Genomic DNA, 16,301 nt, shown 5'->3' with positions numbered 1-16,301 from the left:
ATGGAATACCAAAACCAATGCCTGGAAAATCTGCCCAGCTAGCTGTACTGTGAATGGGACTCACTGCAGGGGCTCCTGCGGAAATAAAGGTGCACCGGCCTTCTAAAGATGGCTTTGTATGAGTCCTTGCTAGGTAAGGAAATGTTCAAAAAGCTTCCTTTTTTTTCCTTCAATGAAAAAAGATGATCAATATTAGCCTGCCCTAATTCACATTTTCATGAAAGAACGTCATAATGAGAAAGGCTTACTTTCTCCCCAGAGAACACATTCTAAACACCTGGCCTCTGTGCTTTCCAAACTTTTAAAGTTTCGCTACGGTGTTTATGAAGCCTCTTTAAGTAAGAGATGGCTGGAATAATGAGCTATGATTGCAAACAGAGGCAACACCTGTAACAGACCTCCTGGCCCAGTGTTGAAAACGATGGGCACTGAGCTGGGGAGAACACAGTTCAAGGTATTTAAGAACTGTAATTATTTATTCATAAGTTATTTATGACTCTGCTGGTCTGATTTTTACCGTAAAAACGGCCATCCAAATTATTTTTGGATGAGGCCACTGCACAAATATGACTATTTGGATGTACATAAATCTACTTGGAATTTTACTATCCTACTGCAAACAAGCTGTCTTTTGTAGATAATTCCTTACCCAAGGGTCCATGGCCCTGGGAGAATAACCCTACTGAGGAAAAGGGTTTGCAAAGAGCCGCCTTCTTTTCACTCAGGTGTGGGCCTCAACTTTCTAGATGAAGTTTAAAGAATCAAGAGGCCTTTGTCATCTGCCAAGGCCAAGATTCACCTCTGCCAGAGAACCTCCCAGGGGCGCGGCCCCCTCACATGGCTCCCCAGATGTACTTCTGCGGGCTGCCAGCTGTCACTTTCTAGAGCATTGGTACCGCGCGTAGTCCTATGGTGCTTTTCCATGCATGCCTGTGATTTTCCCCACTGGCGTCTCATTGAGTGCTGAGCCCACTTCCTTGCACACTCCTCCGTGGTCCCAGGAAGGATTCGGCATTTCTAAACTGGAGACACGTTTCTAATCCACACAGCAAGTGGCTTGCGTGACCGAGGTCTACACTAGCTCCTGTTCTCATACCCATCATCCCGCCTGGCATGAAGGAGAAGATGGTGTTTGTTTCCCCTTCCTTCTAAGTGAAATCCCTATGTCTGGACTCAATTTCTACAGTCCTAAGGCTCTTCATTTATAAAAGGATCAGTTATGAAATTCATAATTGCATTTCCCTATTCGTGTGGTTAAGGACCTTTTCATTTGTTTCCTGGCCCTCTGGACTTCCTTTTCTGAAAATTGTTTATATCCCTTGCCCATTTTTTTTGCCTATTGTGTTGTCTTTTTTTTTTTTTTTTTTAAATCAATTTGTAAGCATTCTTTGTATATCAGGGACTTAAGCCAATTTGTGTTGCAACAATTTGTGTTGCAAATATTTCTTCTTAGTCTGTTTGCATTATGACTTGGTTTATGATGCTTCCCACTGAACACAATTTTTGAATGTTTATGAAGCCAATGATTTCAGTCTTTTTAAAAAATTATTCCTGGATTTTCCAACTAGATTTTAAAGATCTCCCTCATAGCAAAGTTATACCTATATTCCTTAAATGTTATTGTTTTCTTTTTTTATACTTAAACCTGATTGTTGTAATCTAGTATCGTGTTTTGTCCCCCTTCCAGGCAGGAATATCAACACCGTTTATTAACGCACGCAAGCATCCTTTTACACTAAGTTGAAGTTCTGCCTTTGTCATATATTACATAATAACAGTCCCCAACCTTTTTGGCACCACGGACCGGTTTTGTGGAAGACAATTTTTCCATGGACTGCAGCATTGGTGAGGGGGACAGTTTAGGGATGAAACTGTTCCACCTCAGATCATCAGGCGTTAGATTCTCATAAGGAGGGCACAACCTAGAGCCCTCACAGACGCGGTTCACAATAGGGTTCGCGCTCCTATGAGAATCCAATGCTGCCGCTGATCTGACAGGAGGTGGCGCTGATGCTCACTGGCCCACCGCTCACCTCCTCCTGTGTGGCCTGGTTCCTAGCAGGCCAGGGACCAATACCGGTTCGCTTCCTGGGGGGCGCTGGGGACTCCCGATGTATTTCTATGTTTACTGAGGTCTATTTTTGGACTCTTTTATCTGGTCCACTGATATTCCTTTTTCAGTCACATATAAATACACACGCTCTTATGGGACAGATCTCTATGTGTATCATACTCAACACACAAGCACACCAGTTCATCCAAGAGCGTAGCAGCGGCAAACTCCCTAGTTCACCTCCTGCAAATGTGTCCTGGCCTCTGTGGCGTCACTCATCCCTACCTCATACTATCTGTACTTGCCAACAACCATCTATCAAACTGAAGAAGAAAGTTGTATTATGTTTAAAACAACCTGGATGTGGGTTCTGGTTTTCTGGGCCAGCATCCTGAGGGATATTTCTGTGAGCAGAGCTGGCTTTGGAAGTTGTAGCTTTGAGGTTAAGAAGCAGAGCTGGTTGTTTAATGAAAGGGACAGCTCCATACCTTCCCCTGTGTCTCACAGAAGATAATGGAACAAAAAGAGCTTGTTTACCTAGATGTACTCTCTGCTGAACTGGCCTTGTTGTGTGACCAGCACAAAAACTAGGAAAGTTCTGTCTCTGTTGAGTTTTGGGGAAGACCACGAGCCCCTGTGCAACCTTGGCCTCACCTCAGCCTGTGGGTCCAAAGGCGGCCGTGATCCATGTGGGCTTTGCAAGATACCATCGTGTGGCAGTAGAGACTTAACAGCACGTAGCTGCTGGTCCAGGGCTGAAGTCCCACAGTCCTGGGATGAAACCTGGCTCTGCTACTGAGAAGCAGCCACACAACCTGGGACAAATCAGTCAGTCCCTATGCCATGGATTGAACTGTGTCCCCCGCCCCCCACCAAATTCATATGTCGAAGCTCTAATACCCAATGTGACACCATTTGGAGATGGGATATTTGAGCTGTAATTAGGTTTAGATGAGGTCATGAGGGTGGGGCCCTTATGATGAGATTAACATTCTTATAAGAAGAGGGGCCGGGCGTGGTGGCTCACACCTGTAATCCCAGCACTTTGGGAGGCTGAGGCAGGCGGATCACTTGAGGTCAGGAGTTCAAGACCAGCCTGGCCAACATGGTGAAACCCTGGATATCTGAGAGGAGGGCGCCAGCACTGTCAGGGGCTAGCAAGGGCCTTCTTCCTGGCATCCTGTATTGTATTAAAATACAAAATTACTATTTGGAGATGGGATATTTGAGCTGTAATTAGGTTTGGATGAGGTCATGAGGGTGGGGCCCTTATGAGATTAACGTTCTTATAGGAAGAGGGGCCGGGCACAGTGGCTCATCTCCAAAAATACAAAAATTAGCCAGGCATGGTGGCACATGCCTGTAATCCCAGCTACTTGGGAGGCTGAAGAAGGAGAATAGCTTGAACCTGGGAGGCGGAGGTTGCAGGGAGCCAAGATCGCGCCACTGCACTCCAGCCTGGGCGACAGAGCGAGACTCAGTCTCAAAGAAAAAAAAAAAAAAAGAAGAGGAAGAAAGACCAGAGTCCTCTCTCTCTTCACTATCTCAGGACATAGAGAGAAGGATGCCAGGAAGAAGGCCCTCGCAAGCCCCTGACAGTGCTGGCACCCTCCTCTCAGATATCCAGCTTCCAGAACTGTGAGAAAATAAGTGTCTGCTGCTGAAGCACTCGGTCGGTGGTATTTTGGTGTGGCAGCCAAGCTCAGACACCCTGGGAGCCTCAGTCTCCCCACGTGCAAAATGGGGAAATGTGGCCCATACCTCACGTTGTGAGGATGAGAAACTCTCACATATGTAACCTGCCTAGGGCACTGCCTGGTGTGTAGATCAGCTGCACATATTAGCTGCTGGCATCACTGGCCTCCACGCAGGAGAGTGGGGCTTGAGGATACTTGCGTGTCACACGTGGGACAGAAAGAATGGGCGCAGCTCATATGCAGGGTTTTCATTTGAACTTGGACATCTGTGGCATTGCAACAGGGCATTGAAGGGGAAGGCCCAAGATAAGGGCGATCCCCACTTTGGTGGAGCAGGAACCAGGCTACCCCGGCTGTCTCATCTGGGAACACCGTCTCCCAACCCACACACACCTGCCTCAGTCCCGGAGCGCTGGCGACCTCTGGTGGTGAAAAAGGCAATACGCTTCGTTTTCAGTCCATCTTCATTTCTGGGGGGAGGAAAAAGAGACAAAATTTGAGGACAGCACGACAAAAGCATTACTTTTGGCTGTGATGTTATAATGCCAAGCCACGGAGATAGGGAGCAATTCATGTGCAACTCTTCAGGGCCTGGCAGGGGCGCACGCTGCAGTGGCGGCTGCCTTTTTCACTGCCCCCACCCCTCCCCGCAGAGGTCCTCCTTGGGGTGCAAGTTCCACCGTGATACTGCAGAAGTGGCCTTCTGCAGATAACGGGGGCGGCTGGTCTCCAGAGGCTGGCTGGGCTCATCCCGGCTTTCCACCTATTGGAAGGCTTTGGGGCTGGGTGCTTTTATTCAATTCCACGTCCATTTCAGTTAGTGATCAGCAGAGACTTTTGAACAGAATTACAGATTGGGCTGAAGTGAGAGACAAGATTCTCCAGCAGACTAAAAATTAAAAATGAGAGGACACCATTAGGGGCTGTTTCCCCCCACATTCCTGTGTCGAAGCCCTAACCTCCAATTCCTCAGAATGTGACTGTATTTGGAAACAGGGCTGTTAAGGAGGTAACTAAGTTAAAATGAGGTCATTAGGATGGACTCTAATCCAATCCGACTGGTGTCCTTATAAGAAGAGGAGATTAGGTCACAGACGTGAACAGAGGCCTGACCGCAACAGGACACAGGGAGAAGACGGCATCTGCAAGCTAAGGAGAGGGGCCTCAGGAGAAACCAACCAGGCCTGCCCACACCCTCACCTCGGACTTCAGCCCCCAGGGCTGTGAGGCAGTGATTTCTGTTGTTAAGCCCCCAGCTGGCGGCTCAGCAGCCCTCGCAGACTCACATGCCACCATTCAGAGGACCTGCTCGACCGTGGCCCCACACACGCTTTGGAACTGGCCAGGGAGGAGAGGCCCCTGCTTACTTGCCAAGTTGGTTTCTGGAGAGATCCAGGGTTTTGAGCTGCCTGCAGGTCCACTTCTCTTGAGGTGGAAGTGCCGCCAGCTGGTTCCCCTGTAACCTCAAGAACATGAGGGCCTGAGAGAGAGAGGGAGGGAGAGAGAAGCTAAGATAGCATCAGATACAAGAAGGGAGGGGAGACTGAAGAGCCAGTCAGTTCCCAACCACGCGCAGTCAAACGATTCCAACCAATTTTCCTTCACGCAGATCCCAGCTGTGTGGGGCCCAGCAGCCTCTTCAAACTCACGAAATGATATCAAACAGTGCGACGGGGCCATCTATCTACAGGAGCTCCTCCCTCAAAGGCAGTGAGAGGCAATTATTCTAGAGTGAAAGGAGCCCAAGCAGCTGTCAGCATTAAGGATTCTTAAGAGTACTGATTACCGGTGTGTCTCTCTGGGGAAAGTGCCAGACTCTGATGGTTTGGAGGACAACGGCTCACGGCTGGTGGGGGTGGCATGGGGCATGCAGTACAGTGCTGGTGTCTGCCACCTCCTGGTGGGTGGCCTCCTGGGCCAGCCCAGGTCTGGGGACGGGGTGGCAGTGCCACCAAGGGTAACTGTCCTAGCCGCATGCCCTCTGCTAGCCGACACAGTCCCAAGCTGGGCCCCTCAGGATTATCAGCATGTCTGGGGTGCCCCTCGTGGGTAGCCCTCCCTCAGCCCTACTGCAAACAGACCCTGCAGGGAACCCAGTCACCAAGGGGGATGAGGGGCTACCTTGCACCTGTAACACGTTTTATTCTTTTTTTGTTATTCTTTTTATTTATTTACTTTTTTAGAGATAGGGTCTCGCTCTGTTTCTTAGGCTGGAGTGCAGCGGTGTGATCATAGCTTGCTACAGCCTCAAACTCCTGGCCTCAAGCAGTCCCCCCATTTTGGCCTCGCAAAGTGCTGGGAGTACGGTTCTGAGTCGCCGTGCCCAGGTCTGAGCCATCATGCCTGGCCCACGTTTTACTTTGCAGGAGTACCTTAGACATGCTATCTCCCTGCTTGAGGACATCACCACAGCCACCAACTATCCCGCCCACAACCAGGGCGGCCTCAGGAGGGCCACAGGCTGTTTGCTGCCCCACATTAAATTCTCTCCTCCTGGTGCTTTTGTCTCCTTCCTTGTTGAAGGGGCTCACGCCACCGCCCACCATCAGAACCGCTGCAGCCAGCCCCCTCCTGCTGAAATTCTATGGAGACCCTGCCATGTGCCAGACCTCAGGGTCCCCCAAGCCCCCACATACCCACCCACCCCTTCCCAGTGTGGAGAAGGAGACCTCGAGCAGACACATTCCCTGCAGGCCCACAGTGAAGCTCTGGACAAGGCTCTGCCTCTCCTGATTTGCTGCTTCTGGGCTTTGGGGGAAGCCAAAAATCCAAGCCTGCTAGTTGTTGGTGTGAAATACGAGAAGACAGACTCAGAACAGGGGCCCAGGGGCTGTGGACAAGGCCTGAAGGCCAGGAGTACCCTGCGAGGAGTATGATGTGGGACCACCCCCCCCCGGGGGCACCCCGCGTGGCTCCTTTCTTCTGAGAAGCGTGAGTCCTGTCCCTGGGTCCCTGGCTTTGCCCTGTGCTTGTCAGGAGCCTAGGACATGATAGCCCATCCTCTCTGAGGATACACATGCTGAAGGGGCCTTCGCTGCCTTGTGGGGGTCGCCGCACACAAGAGGCTGCACCAGGCCTTGGAGGAGTGCCCGTGGGGGTCCTGGCAGTGGCCTGGCAGGACCGGGGGCTGAAGCCTGTGCAGGGTGGCCTGGGCACTCTGCCTGGGGGTCCACTACAGGGCCCCTGGTGAGGCTGCCCTGATGGGGCCCCTTCTGGGGTTGGCCCTGAGCTCCAAGCAATGAGTGTGATCCACGGCCTGTCTGCCTAAGGACCCGCCAACCACCTAAAACAACCTAAAGCGAGAAGGTACCCGTATTCTGGGGTAGGCACACAGGGTTCCGTGGAAAGGCCCTTCCTGGAGCTCTCAGTGTCCACTCAGCCTCATATATGGGCAGGCCGTGGACTTAAAGAAAGTCCCGAGGGATACGAACCATAACCCCACCACCACCTGACACAGCTGCTTCTGCTGTCCACGTGCCACCCTCATCGCTGTTCGTGGCCATGCATATTTTTGATAGCTGAACTTTTTCTTCATCTTTTCCCCTTATATTTATCTCAGAAGCTCAGGAAAAGCACATACATTTCACTGCAACACGGAGCAATTTTCTCTCAAAAGCCGAAAATGAGAAAGAAAGGGCTATTAGGCTTACATCAAGCTGGAAAAGTCCCAGGGGAACTTCTTTGAGTGCGTTTTCTGAGAAATCCACATCCTTCAGGTGATTTTTCCAAAAGACAGCCATTTTGTCTGGCAGACATTCCAGGGCATTTCTGGAAGCTTTACAACATTTCTAAGAGATTGACGAGAAAAAAAAATGTATATTAGTTAGCTCTTTAAATGCAGTGGTGCCTTTGAGACTGTTTCCAAATTTGATGTTAAAAATGGACCATTACAATAATGTCCTGTAATGAAGATGACTGAGTGTTGCTGGAAGGCTGCACACCCTCACTGTCCTTGTCCTCCCGCCCCTACTCCAAGGAAGGGACAGGAATGGGGTTTCCTGGGGGAGCTCATGGTCTTTTTCCTTCATTCCAGAACATCCGGCCCATTGTCCTTGGAAATAATGGAACAATTCAGGACCACACTGGAGAGAGAAGCTGGTTTCCCCTACACGAATGGCCAAACTAGGAATGATAATGCCAGTGATGAAGAGTTTCCTGGTTTAAAACCAACAGCCATAACACACACACACATGCACACACACACACACACATTCTTCATGCTATTCCATCTGTTTTAACAAGCAAAATTCCCCAGATGCAAAAACAGCATTTAATCAGCAGTGCTACGAGTGCAGATTGATGCTTTTTTTTTTTTTTTTTTGAGACAGAGTCTTGCTCTGTCACCAGACTGGAGTGCAATGGTGCAATCTCGGCTCACTGCAACCTCTGCCTCCCCGGTAAAAGCAATTCCCTGGCCTCAGCCTCCTGCGTAGCTGGGACTACAGCCACGTGCCACCACGCCCAGCTTATTTTTTTTTTTTTTTTAATTTTAGTAGAGACGGGGTTTCACCATGTTGGCCAGGATGGTCTCAATCTCCTGACCTTGTGATCCACCTACCTTGGCCTCCCAAAGTGCTGGGATTACAGGCATGAGCCATAGCGCCCGGCCTGATTTCTTACTCTTATGTGATAGTTGTCCTAAAAGAACTGAACCCTCCTTTTTTCAGGCATGAGTCGTCCTGTGCCAGGGTGAAAGCTGTCCCTGGGTAAAGTTCTGTGGGTGTTGCTGGGTGGCTCTTGAACCCAGAGCCAGGCAGGCTGGCTTTCAGGTGAGTCATCTGCCTGGGACACAGCCTCGCTGTATGCTGAGTGACGATGCTTACAATGTGGGAACCGGGCCCTTCTACCCGGCTTCGCTGCTGAGGGGATGAACTGACATAATGCACCTGAGGGCTCTCTGAGGCCAGCTGAGAGGCAGAGTTGACTGTGGCTTTCATGACTTTTGGTGTGATACTCACCAAAGGGCAGGCCCAGGGATCTGGAAACACCTTCAGGTTGTTTCTGGAGACATTCAGAGAATTGAGGGACTTGAAAGAGTGAAGGAACAGGGCAGGGAGTTCTGTCAATTTATTGTCAGATATATCAAGTTCCTGTAGCTTCCGTAAACCTATCCAGTTAGTGGCTAAAAAAAAAAAAAAAGACCCAAAGTATGAATTGGTAAAAATATCCCTACCAAGAAGAAAATGACTAATTCACTCAAGTTGATGAGAAAACATACCATTTTCTTCTTCGAACAATTTTTCTAAACAATTTTTTGAAGCTGTCAGTTTTTGAAGTTTTGAGAGGTGCAAGAATCCAGGAGGGAGGTGGGACAACTTGTTGCTGGAAATGTCAATTTCAAGTAGCCTGCGATGGAGAAGAAGGAAGGCAGGCATCAGAATAAAGAGGGAAAACACCAAATTTACATATTTTTCTATAAACCAAGAGGTGTATTTTTTTTCTTTTTCTCCCCATGCAAGGTTAAAGAGTGTGCATTGAAAATGTAGTGCATATGATTTTTAATTCTTTTGAAGAACTCTTACTGTGTCCTGTGTAGATAAAGACAAACCTCTCATCGGTGGGCCCTGGCTCCACTGACCAACAGGGATTCGAATCCTTCGCAGGCATGTAATAGCAAAATGAGTAGGTTCCCTGAAAGCTGCTGAGACCACAGAGCAGGGCTTTGAACCTTCTGGACCTGTCCATCTGGCCCAGGTGAAGGGCCTCACTTGGACGGCACTTGCTTTTTAAGTTCTGGTGTGCAGGCTTCTTTCCCGTTCTCACTTGGGAGTCCCATGGATTAATGCCTACCCCAAGCTCTTTCCAACATTCTTGACTCTTGCTTCACTTAGAGCCTTGGTTTTTCATTTTAAAAATCGATTCAACCCTTTATGGAATGAGGACTTGCAGTTATGTGTCCAAAAGAAATCAGGCCAGGTGCGGTGGCTCATGCCTGTAATCTCAGCACTTTGGGAGGCCGAGGCAGGCGGATCATGAGGTCAGGAGGTCAAGACCATCCTGGCCAACACGGTGAAACCCCGTCTCTACTAAAAATACAAAAATTAGCTGGGTGTGGTGGCATGTGCCTGTAATCCCAGTTACTCGGGAGGCTGAGACAGGAGAATTGCTTGAACCAGGGAGTTGCAGGTTGCCATGAGCCGAGATTATGCCACTGCACTCCAGTTGGGCAGCAGAGTGAGACTCCGTCTCAAAAAAAATAAAAATAAAAATAAAAAATAAAGAAATCAACTAAGGTCATTCCTCCTTCCATGCAAGCTCAGGGGTAAGGCTCAGGTCTCCCTCCAAGGCCTCCAGAAGAAGCAAGCCTGGACTGCCCACACTGTCCACCTGCTGCCAGAGTCCTGCAGAGTTAACCCTTTCTCTGAGGCCCTTCCCACTTTCCCTGGAAGGCAGAGTAAAAGCTGGTGCCTCAGAGCCCCATTGCATCCACCAGTGTGGGAAGGTTTGGCTGCCCTCATCTGATTCCTGGGCAGGACCAAGACAAGCATCTCAGGCAAGCATTCGCATGTCCCCGGGTGAGCTGTGTAAACTTGGGCCAGACAAATGATCTCTCTAAACCTCTCTGTTTTAACCTGAAAGGGAGGCTTGCCTCAGGGTAGGCAAAACTCCTTCTCCTATTTTAGCCAGAACATTTTTCCCCCAAAACCACAAAATACAACCCGGGAGCATGTGCAGGAGCACAACGGTGACAGCGGGGTCACACACGGCTCCGGTCACACCCCGGGGAGCCACCTGGAACAGATGATTTCGTCCGATGACTGCACGCCAGGCAGCTCCCCCAGGTGGTTGTCGGAGAGGTTCAGCTTCCGGAGATTGATGAGGCCCCAGGGGATAACCGAGGGGAGGGTCGCCAGGCAGTTGGCAGAAAGGTCGAGCTCCGTGATCTGGCAGGAGATGTCTATGAGCCAGTCTAGGTCTACCCAGGGCAGTCTGAGATGGGACCATTTCACACGGAGAGCCTGGTGGTGGAAAGAAAGGAAAAGCACATGTGGAGGGTGAGTTCAGGGCCCACATGGGCTTGGAATAAAGCAAGGGTTAATGCAAATGCGCGTCTGTGTGCCTGCTCCAGCCCGGGTCCCAAGAGGCCTGCACATGTCCTTCTCGGCCGCCGGCACCTGCCACGGTGGTGGGTGCAGAAGAGCTACCTGTTCCCATCGGCACCTGCGTCTCACAGGCAATCTGTGCACAGCGCCTGCAAGTCACCCTCCAACCTCCAGAGGGCGCCGGTGGGCGCGGGCTCAGTGCCGCCCCTCAAGAGGCGGCTCACAGGGAAGAGCGCGGCGGGATTGTCCACGTACAGAGGAGACCGCTGAAGCGTCCAGGCGCCTCCCCCAGACTGGAGAAGAAAGCTGACTCCCAAACCCAAGTCTCTGACCTCCCTTCAAGGCGGCCTTTCCTGTGATCAGAGGAGCTGCCGCCTGCAGCTGCCCGCACCGCGCCAGGGTGCTTGGTGGACAGGCTGCTTTCAGAGCGAGCCTGAGATACAGACAGACGATGGCCACACAATATATAAAAAACAGAACTCTGGCCCACGACCCACAGTGACCTGCCTAGGAAACCAACCTCTTTATCTATAGCAAACAGCCCGGGAAGCCAGTCTCTTGCAGGAGGCCAGCCTCTTTTTTTTTTTTTTTTTTTTTTTTTTTTTTTTTTGAGATGGAGTCTCGCTCTGTCGCCCAGGCTGGAGTGCAGTGGTGCGATCTCGGCTCACTGCAACCGCCGCTTCCCGGGTTCAAGCGATTCTCCTGCCTCAGCCTCCTCAGTAGCTGCACCACCACTCACGGCTAATTTTTGTGTTTTTATTAGAGACGGTGTTTCACCATGTTCGTCGAGCTCAGGCTGGTCTCAAACTCCTGACCTCGGGCAATCCACCCACCTTGGCCTCCCAAAGTGCTGCAATTACAGGCATGAGCCACTTCTTATCTCTAGTAACAACCCAGGAAGCTAAGCCATCATTTCCGTAAAAGTCAGTCTAAAATGGCCAGGACTTGGTTAATAACTGACCGATTCTCTAATTTTTGTCCTCACTTTCCATTTAGGACCAACCCGAGAGAGCCAACTTTGCACCCCTACCAATCCCATAGGATGCCCAGCCTGCAGCGAGGCCCCCCAGCTTCCCCACGACAACGGCCTCCCGGCAGGAGGCCCCGGAGGCCTTCCCTTTGTCCCACTAGAAAGCTCCCGCTCCTCTGCCAGCCTGTGGGTCTCTGCCACACGCAAGTCCTGGTGGCTGGCGCTCTTGCCGTTGAAGTCCTGCTAAACAAAATGTCTTTGCTCCACTCATTTCTCACTGGTCTTCCTTTATTTCCACCAGAGGGAGTCAGAAGGGCCAGCGGTTTTCCGGCATGGGGTGGTCAAAGGGACCTGGCGAAATATATGGGAGCAGGACTTTGCTCTTTCTTCCTGATTACCGAAGAATATTGGGCTCAATCAGGTTTCTGGGGAGAAGAAATCTGCTTTTGGGTCTGTTTCTTCGAAGCAACTGGAAATCCGTATTGGAAAATTAGAGGAGCAGAAATATGAACAAAAATTAGTGCTTCGCAAATGGGAAAATGTAACAAGCAGAGGCTACGAGAAAGGTCCCAATAACGTGGGATGAATTCCTCAAAAATTGGCGGCAGGTGACGGGCATCCCTATTTGGCCACCAGATGGCGATGAGCGCCTGTCTTTAGCTCCTCCTCCGCCCACTCCAGGAGTTTGGAAAGACTGGGCCTACGCCCCTCAACACTCCGTCCGGTCTTTGAACCAGAGGAATGAGGGACTCTGTCGCTCTGTCTGTCTGTCTCTCTGTTCACATGGATGAAAAGGGAAGGGCGGCACTGGATCTTAGGCCAGGAGGGTAGATTCTGAGCTGATTTTTTAAGACAAGTCACTCAATTGCCCTGGGCCTGTTTGATTGTTACTATTTTACTCCCCACATTTTAATTTTGAAAAATTTTTTAAATTTCAGAAAAGTTGCACTAGGACACAGTGAATACCTGTGCACTCTCCACCTCGACTCACTGATTGTTAAAACGCTGTCACATAGGCTTTTGCCCCTCTTTCTCCACACAAATACACACGCTTTTTATGTTTTGATGAATCATTTGCCAGTAAATTATACATCGTGATGCTTCACCCGTAAATACTTCAGCATGTATCCCTGAAGAATAATATTTTTCTACACAACAGCCGTATAATTATCATTTTCAGTAAGTGTAACATCAATACGATATTATTAAGTTCACAGCCCATGTTAGAATATTCTCAATTATCCCAGAAATGTGGTTTATAACTATTTTGTGTCCTGATCTGGGATCCCTTGACAATTGCATGACATTGCAATCACACACTGCATTACACTGTATGTTTCTTTACTTTTCTTTCATCTGGAAGAGTCTTCACACCTTTTAATGCCTTTTCTTTTTTTTTTTTTTTTTTTTATCACATTGTCGTTGCATTAAGTCCTGCAACTTTTAGCCTCTTCATCGGGGGCAGATGCTGGTGTGTTTCACTGCTTGTCTTATAGAATATCCCATAATCTGAATTTACTCAAGTTTTTCCTAAAGTTTAGATTAAAGTTAGCTATTTTGGGCAACAACCTTAGAGTCTAGTTGAGTGGTTCCCACTAAACCCCACCCGGGGCACCTGATATTAGGTGTTCCTGCTACAGGTGGTGCCCTGTTTGGTCTCATGGTTAAGGTGGTGTCTATCAGTCCCTCCTTTGTAAAGGTTAACATTATACCCTTTGCGATTAGTACACAATCTATGGGGTGATATTCTGAGACTATGTGACAATTCTGTGTTTCTGCATCCTTTTGCCCCATGGGTTTAGCCTCCGTTGCTGATCCTGGCCTGAATCAATTAGTACAACGGTGGTTGCAATGAGAAAGTTTTGCTAAAGCTACCTTTCTTTCTACATGTATTACCTGGCATTCTTCTGTATAGAAAAGCATTGCCTCCTCACCTGTTTAAGTATCACTATGGACTCATGGATTCTTTTTTTTCCCAAGTATCATTATTTTTTTGACACCCAAGTCATCCCCAATTTGTCCAGGGGGAGCCCCACTGGGGTGGGAGAGAGCCCCCTGTGTTCCTGTGACATATCGCTGTCAATTTTGGGACGCCTCCTTACTTCCCGGCAAAACAAGATCTTCCAGTCTCCTCTTGTACTTTCTAAGCCCAGGCCTTGATTCCCTTGAGCAAAAATTGGTATTTAGAAACCAAGATCTGGGTGTGAGGTGTGCTCATCACCGCTGGGGTGTCACTGCTTTTCAGCCCATTGATGGGACACAGCTCTGTATTTAACATGAGTGTGTTCTGATGCCTCCAATTCAATGCAGCAAAGGGGTTTTTTTCCCTCATCTTTCCATAATCCACAATTCACGACTGTATCACTCTTCATTCCATTATCATTGTTTTTAATCTGTTAAATAAGTGGCTTGGATCAGATGATGCCTAGGTCAGTTCTCGTCCCAATATTGTTTCCGGTGGTCGTCTTGCAAAGTACAGTGGCCTTTGGGTAGGAGTCTTTGGATAAGCATGACAGTCAGCCCAGCAACAGGCTGACAGGAAGGTCACCATGTGGACTTTGCAATGCCAAGTCAAAAAAGGCTCCACAGGGCCTGTCTGCCTCTCCTTCCTGGATTCACAGAGACACACCCAGGTCTCAGGGGCAAGGGCCAGACAGCTGAACATGGAATCAAGGTGTCCAGATTGCAATCCAACCCTCTCCACTCACTCTGCGTGGCCATTATGGTCTTTCCGTATGGAATGGTTGGTACCCAAACTGAAATGGCAGCCAAATGCAAGATGCAGGGGAGGCTGGTTATGGTTTTGGCTTTGACAACAAATCTTAAGTCTCTATTGAAAATCTTTAAATAAAACTCTGGGGACCATCATAAAATAAACAAAACAACAGCAAGTAATCAAATTATTACTGTAACATGACCCAATTATGGTACAAATACCTTGGGGAAGGGCTTAGGTGTGGCTGTCCTTACAATGGCAGCCTCCCTCTCAGCACCTCCTCCACATCCCCTGAGCTGGGGCTGGAGCCCTGAACTGCAGAAGGAGCAGGGGCTCAGCCTCAGGCTGCTTAACTAACTCCACGTGGACTCTGGGCAAGCCGCAGTGGAGGTGAGCACTTTTTTGGGCTCTGTTCAGCTTGAGACACTTTGTATTAACCTCTCCACTGATCTGTGTGGCACTGACTCAGCCCACATTTCTTTTGCTGTGGCAGACAGCATGGCCAACCGGAACCCGGACTGCACACCCCACAGTGCAGAGCCCTGCCTGGCTGCCTCTGCAGCTCAACCTCATACCCACTATGCAGCAGACACTAAATCAGTGTTTGTGAGCTGAAGAGATTCAAGCCACCAAGACCTGCAAGCTATCCACTCTGTGCACTTCTTACCAGATCAATCATCCTGAAATATCAAAGTCTGCGCAAGACCTTTCAGCTCTCCCTAGCCCACTCCGCCTTTAGCAGAACATCCAAAGTCCCTCCTTTGCAGCCTGACAGCCCCCCAGTTGGCTCCAACCCACTTTTCCAACTTTATGTCTTCCTGCCTCTTTCATAGCTTCTCCCTGCCCACCCAGAGCAGCCTCTGATCTATAGCGATGCCCTTTGCCTTCCTACTGGCAGTGATTTGTGGGGTTAATTTATTCTGGGTAAAAGAAATTAGGGGAAGGGGCACACTCCCAGGGCAGGGGAATTCGAGGCCAAGGAAAAGCTGCCAATCAAAGTGCAGAAACTGCTTGTTCATAAATCAACTGCAGGGCTCACAAGTAGGCCCAACATTGACATTTGTAGGAAGGGTTTTGGGGACCACAAGGGTGTAGCCGTGCTGTTGGTAACTGACTGGCCCATGTGCTCAAAGGGCTGCTGGGGTGCTCTGGGGCTGCAGACCTCCCCCGCCTCCCTACTGGAATGTGGGTTACCATGGTGACCAAAGGGGCCAAGATGGGAGGACAACATGGGAAGTACAAGGTGGGCTGGGCCTGGAGCTAAGAGGGTGATATGGTTTGGCTGTGTCCCCACCCAAATCTCATCCTGAAGGAGATAGAGAATTACGGGTAGCTCCCATAATTCCTATGTGTTGTGGGAGGCACCTGGTGGAAGATAATTAAATCATGGGGCGGTTTCCCCCATACTGTTCTCATGATAGTGAACAAGTCTCATGAGATCTGATGGTTTTATAAGGGGAAGCCCCTTTCACTTGTCTCTCATTCTCTCTCTTGCCTGCTGCCATGTAAGACGTGTCTTTCACCTTCTGCCATGATTGTGAGGCCTCCCCAGCCATGTGGAACTGTGAGTCCATTAAACCTCTTTTTCTTTATAAATTACCCAGTCTCAAGTATGTTTTTATCAGCAGTGTAAAAAGAGAATAATACAGAGGGTCTTTGCATACACCCTTAGAGTGGACCTCCTTTCTCCTCTTGGAGAAAGCAGATGTTGCCTGTTCCCAGAGCTCTCTGTAGGCACATACCCACTGTGCTTCTGCAGGACTGACATCTGATAAACTCAAGCTGGGAGGGAAGTGGTAAAAAGCAGAAGTCTGCAAAAATG

At 49.4% G+C, this 16,301-nt stretch overlaps 1 protein-coding gene across 1 annotated transcript in view, besides 3 other annotated features; it reads right to left on the bottom strand.

The window, feature by feature from the left end:
- Nucleotides 1–16,301, bottom strand: part of LRRK1 (leucine rich repeat kinase 1) — a 158,901-nt gene that overhangs the window by 58,712 nt on the left and 83,888 nt on the right. Inside the window, exons 7-12 of the mRNA NM_024652.6 lie at nt 10,483–10,709; nt 8,969–9,096; nt 8,709–8,872; nt 7,401–7,538; nt 5,118–5,230; nt 4,144–4,220 (exon numbers count right to left, since the gene is read on the bottom strand). Coding sequence (NP_078928.3) covers nt 4,144–4,220; nt 5,118–5,230; nt 7,401–7,538; nt 8,709–8,872; nt 8,969–9,096; nt 10,483–10,709 — 847 coding nt within the window. The remainder of the gene's footprint in view (nt 1–4,143; nt 4,221–5,117; nt 5,231–7,400; nt 7,539–8,708; nt 8,873–8,968; nt 9,097–10,482; nt 10,710–16,301) is intronic.
- Nucleotides 3,968–4,262: a silencer, noted in NCBI's record as "tiled region #13394; HepG2 Repressive non-DNase unmatched - State 20:ReprD". NCBI's record gives its function as "represses a minimal TATA promoter and a strong SV40 promoter by Sharpr-MPRA in HepG2 cells {active_cell/tissue: HepG2}" and the evidence as "EXISTENCE:reporter gene assay evidence [ECO:0000049][PMID:27701403]".
- Nucleotides 10,960–11,289: an enhancer, noted in NCBI's record as "active region_10182". NCBI's record gives its function as "activates an Ori minimal core promoter by ATAC-STARR-seq in GM12878 lymphoblastoid cells {active_cell/tissue: GM12878}" and the evidence as "EXISTENCE:reporter gene assay evidence [ECO:0000049][PMID:35858748]".
- Nucleotides 12,268–12,562: an enhancer, noted in NCBI's record as "tiled region #1628; K562 Activating DNase unmatched - State 12:CtcfO". NCBI's record gives its function as "activates a minimal TATA promoter and a strong SV40 promoter by Sharpr-MPRA in K562 cells {active_cell/tissue: K562}" and the evidence as "EXISTENCE:reporter gene assay evidence [ECO:0000049][PMID:27701403]".

Source organism: Homo sapiens, chromosome 15 (assembly GCF_000001405.40).
Source record: "Homo sapiens chromosome 15, GRCh38.p14 Primary Assembly".
Taxonomy (NCBI): Eukaryota; Metazoa; Chordata; class Mammalia; order Primates; family Hominidae; genus Homo; species Homo sapiens.
This window is presented reverse-complemented; position numbering and strand designations above follow the sequence as displayed.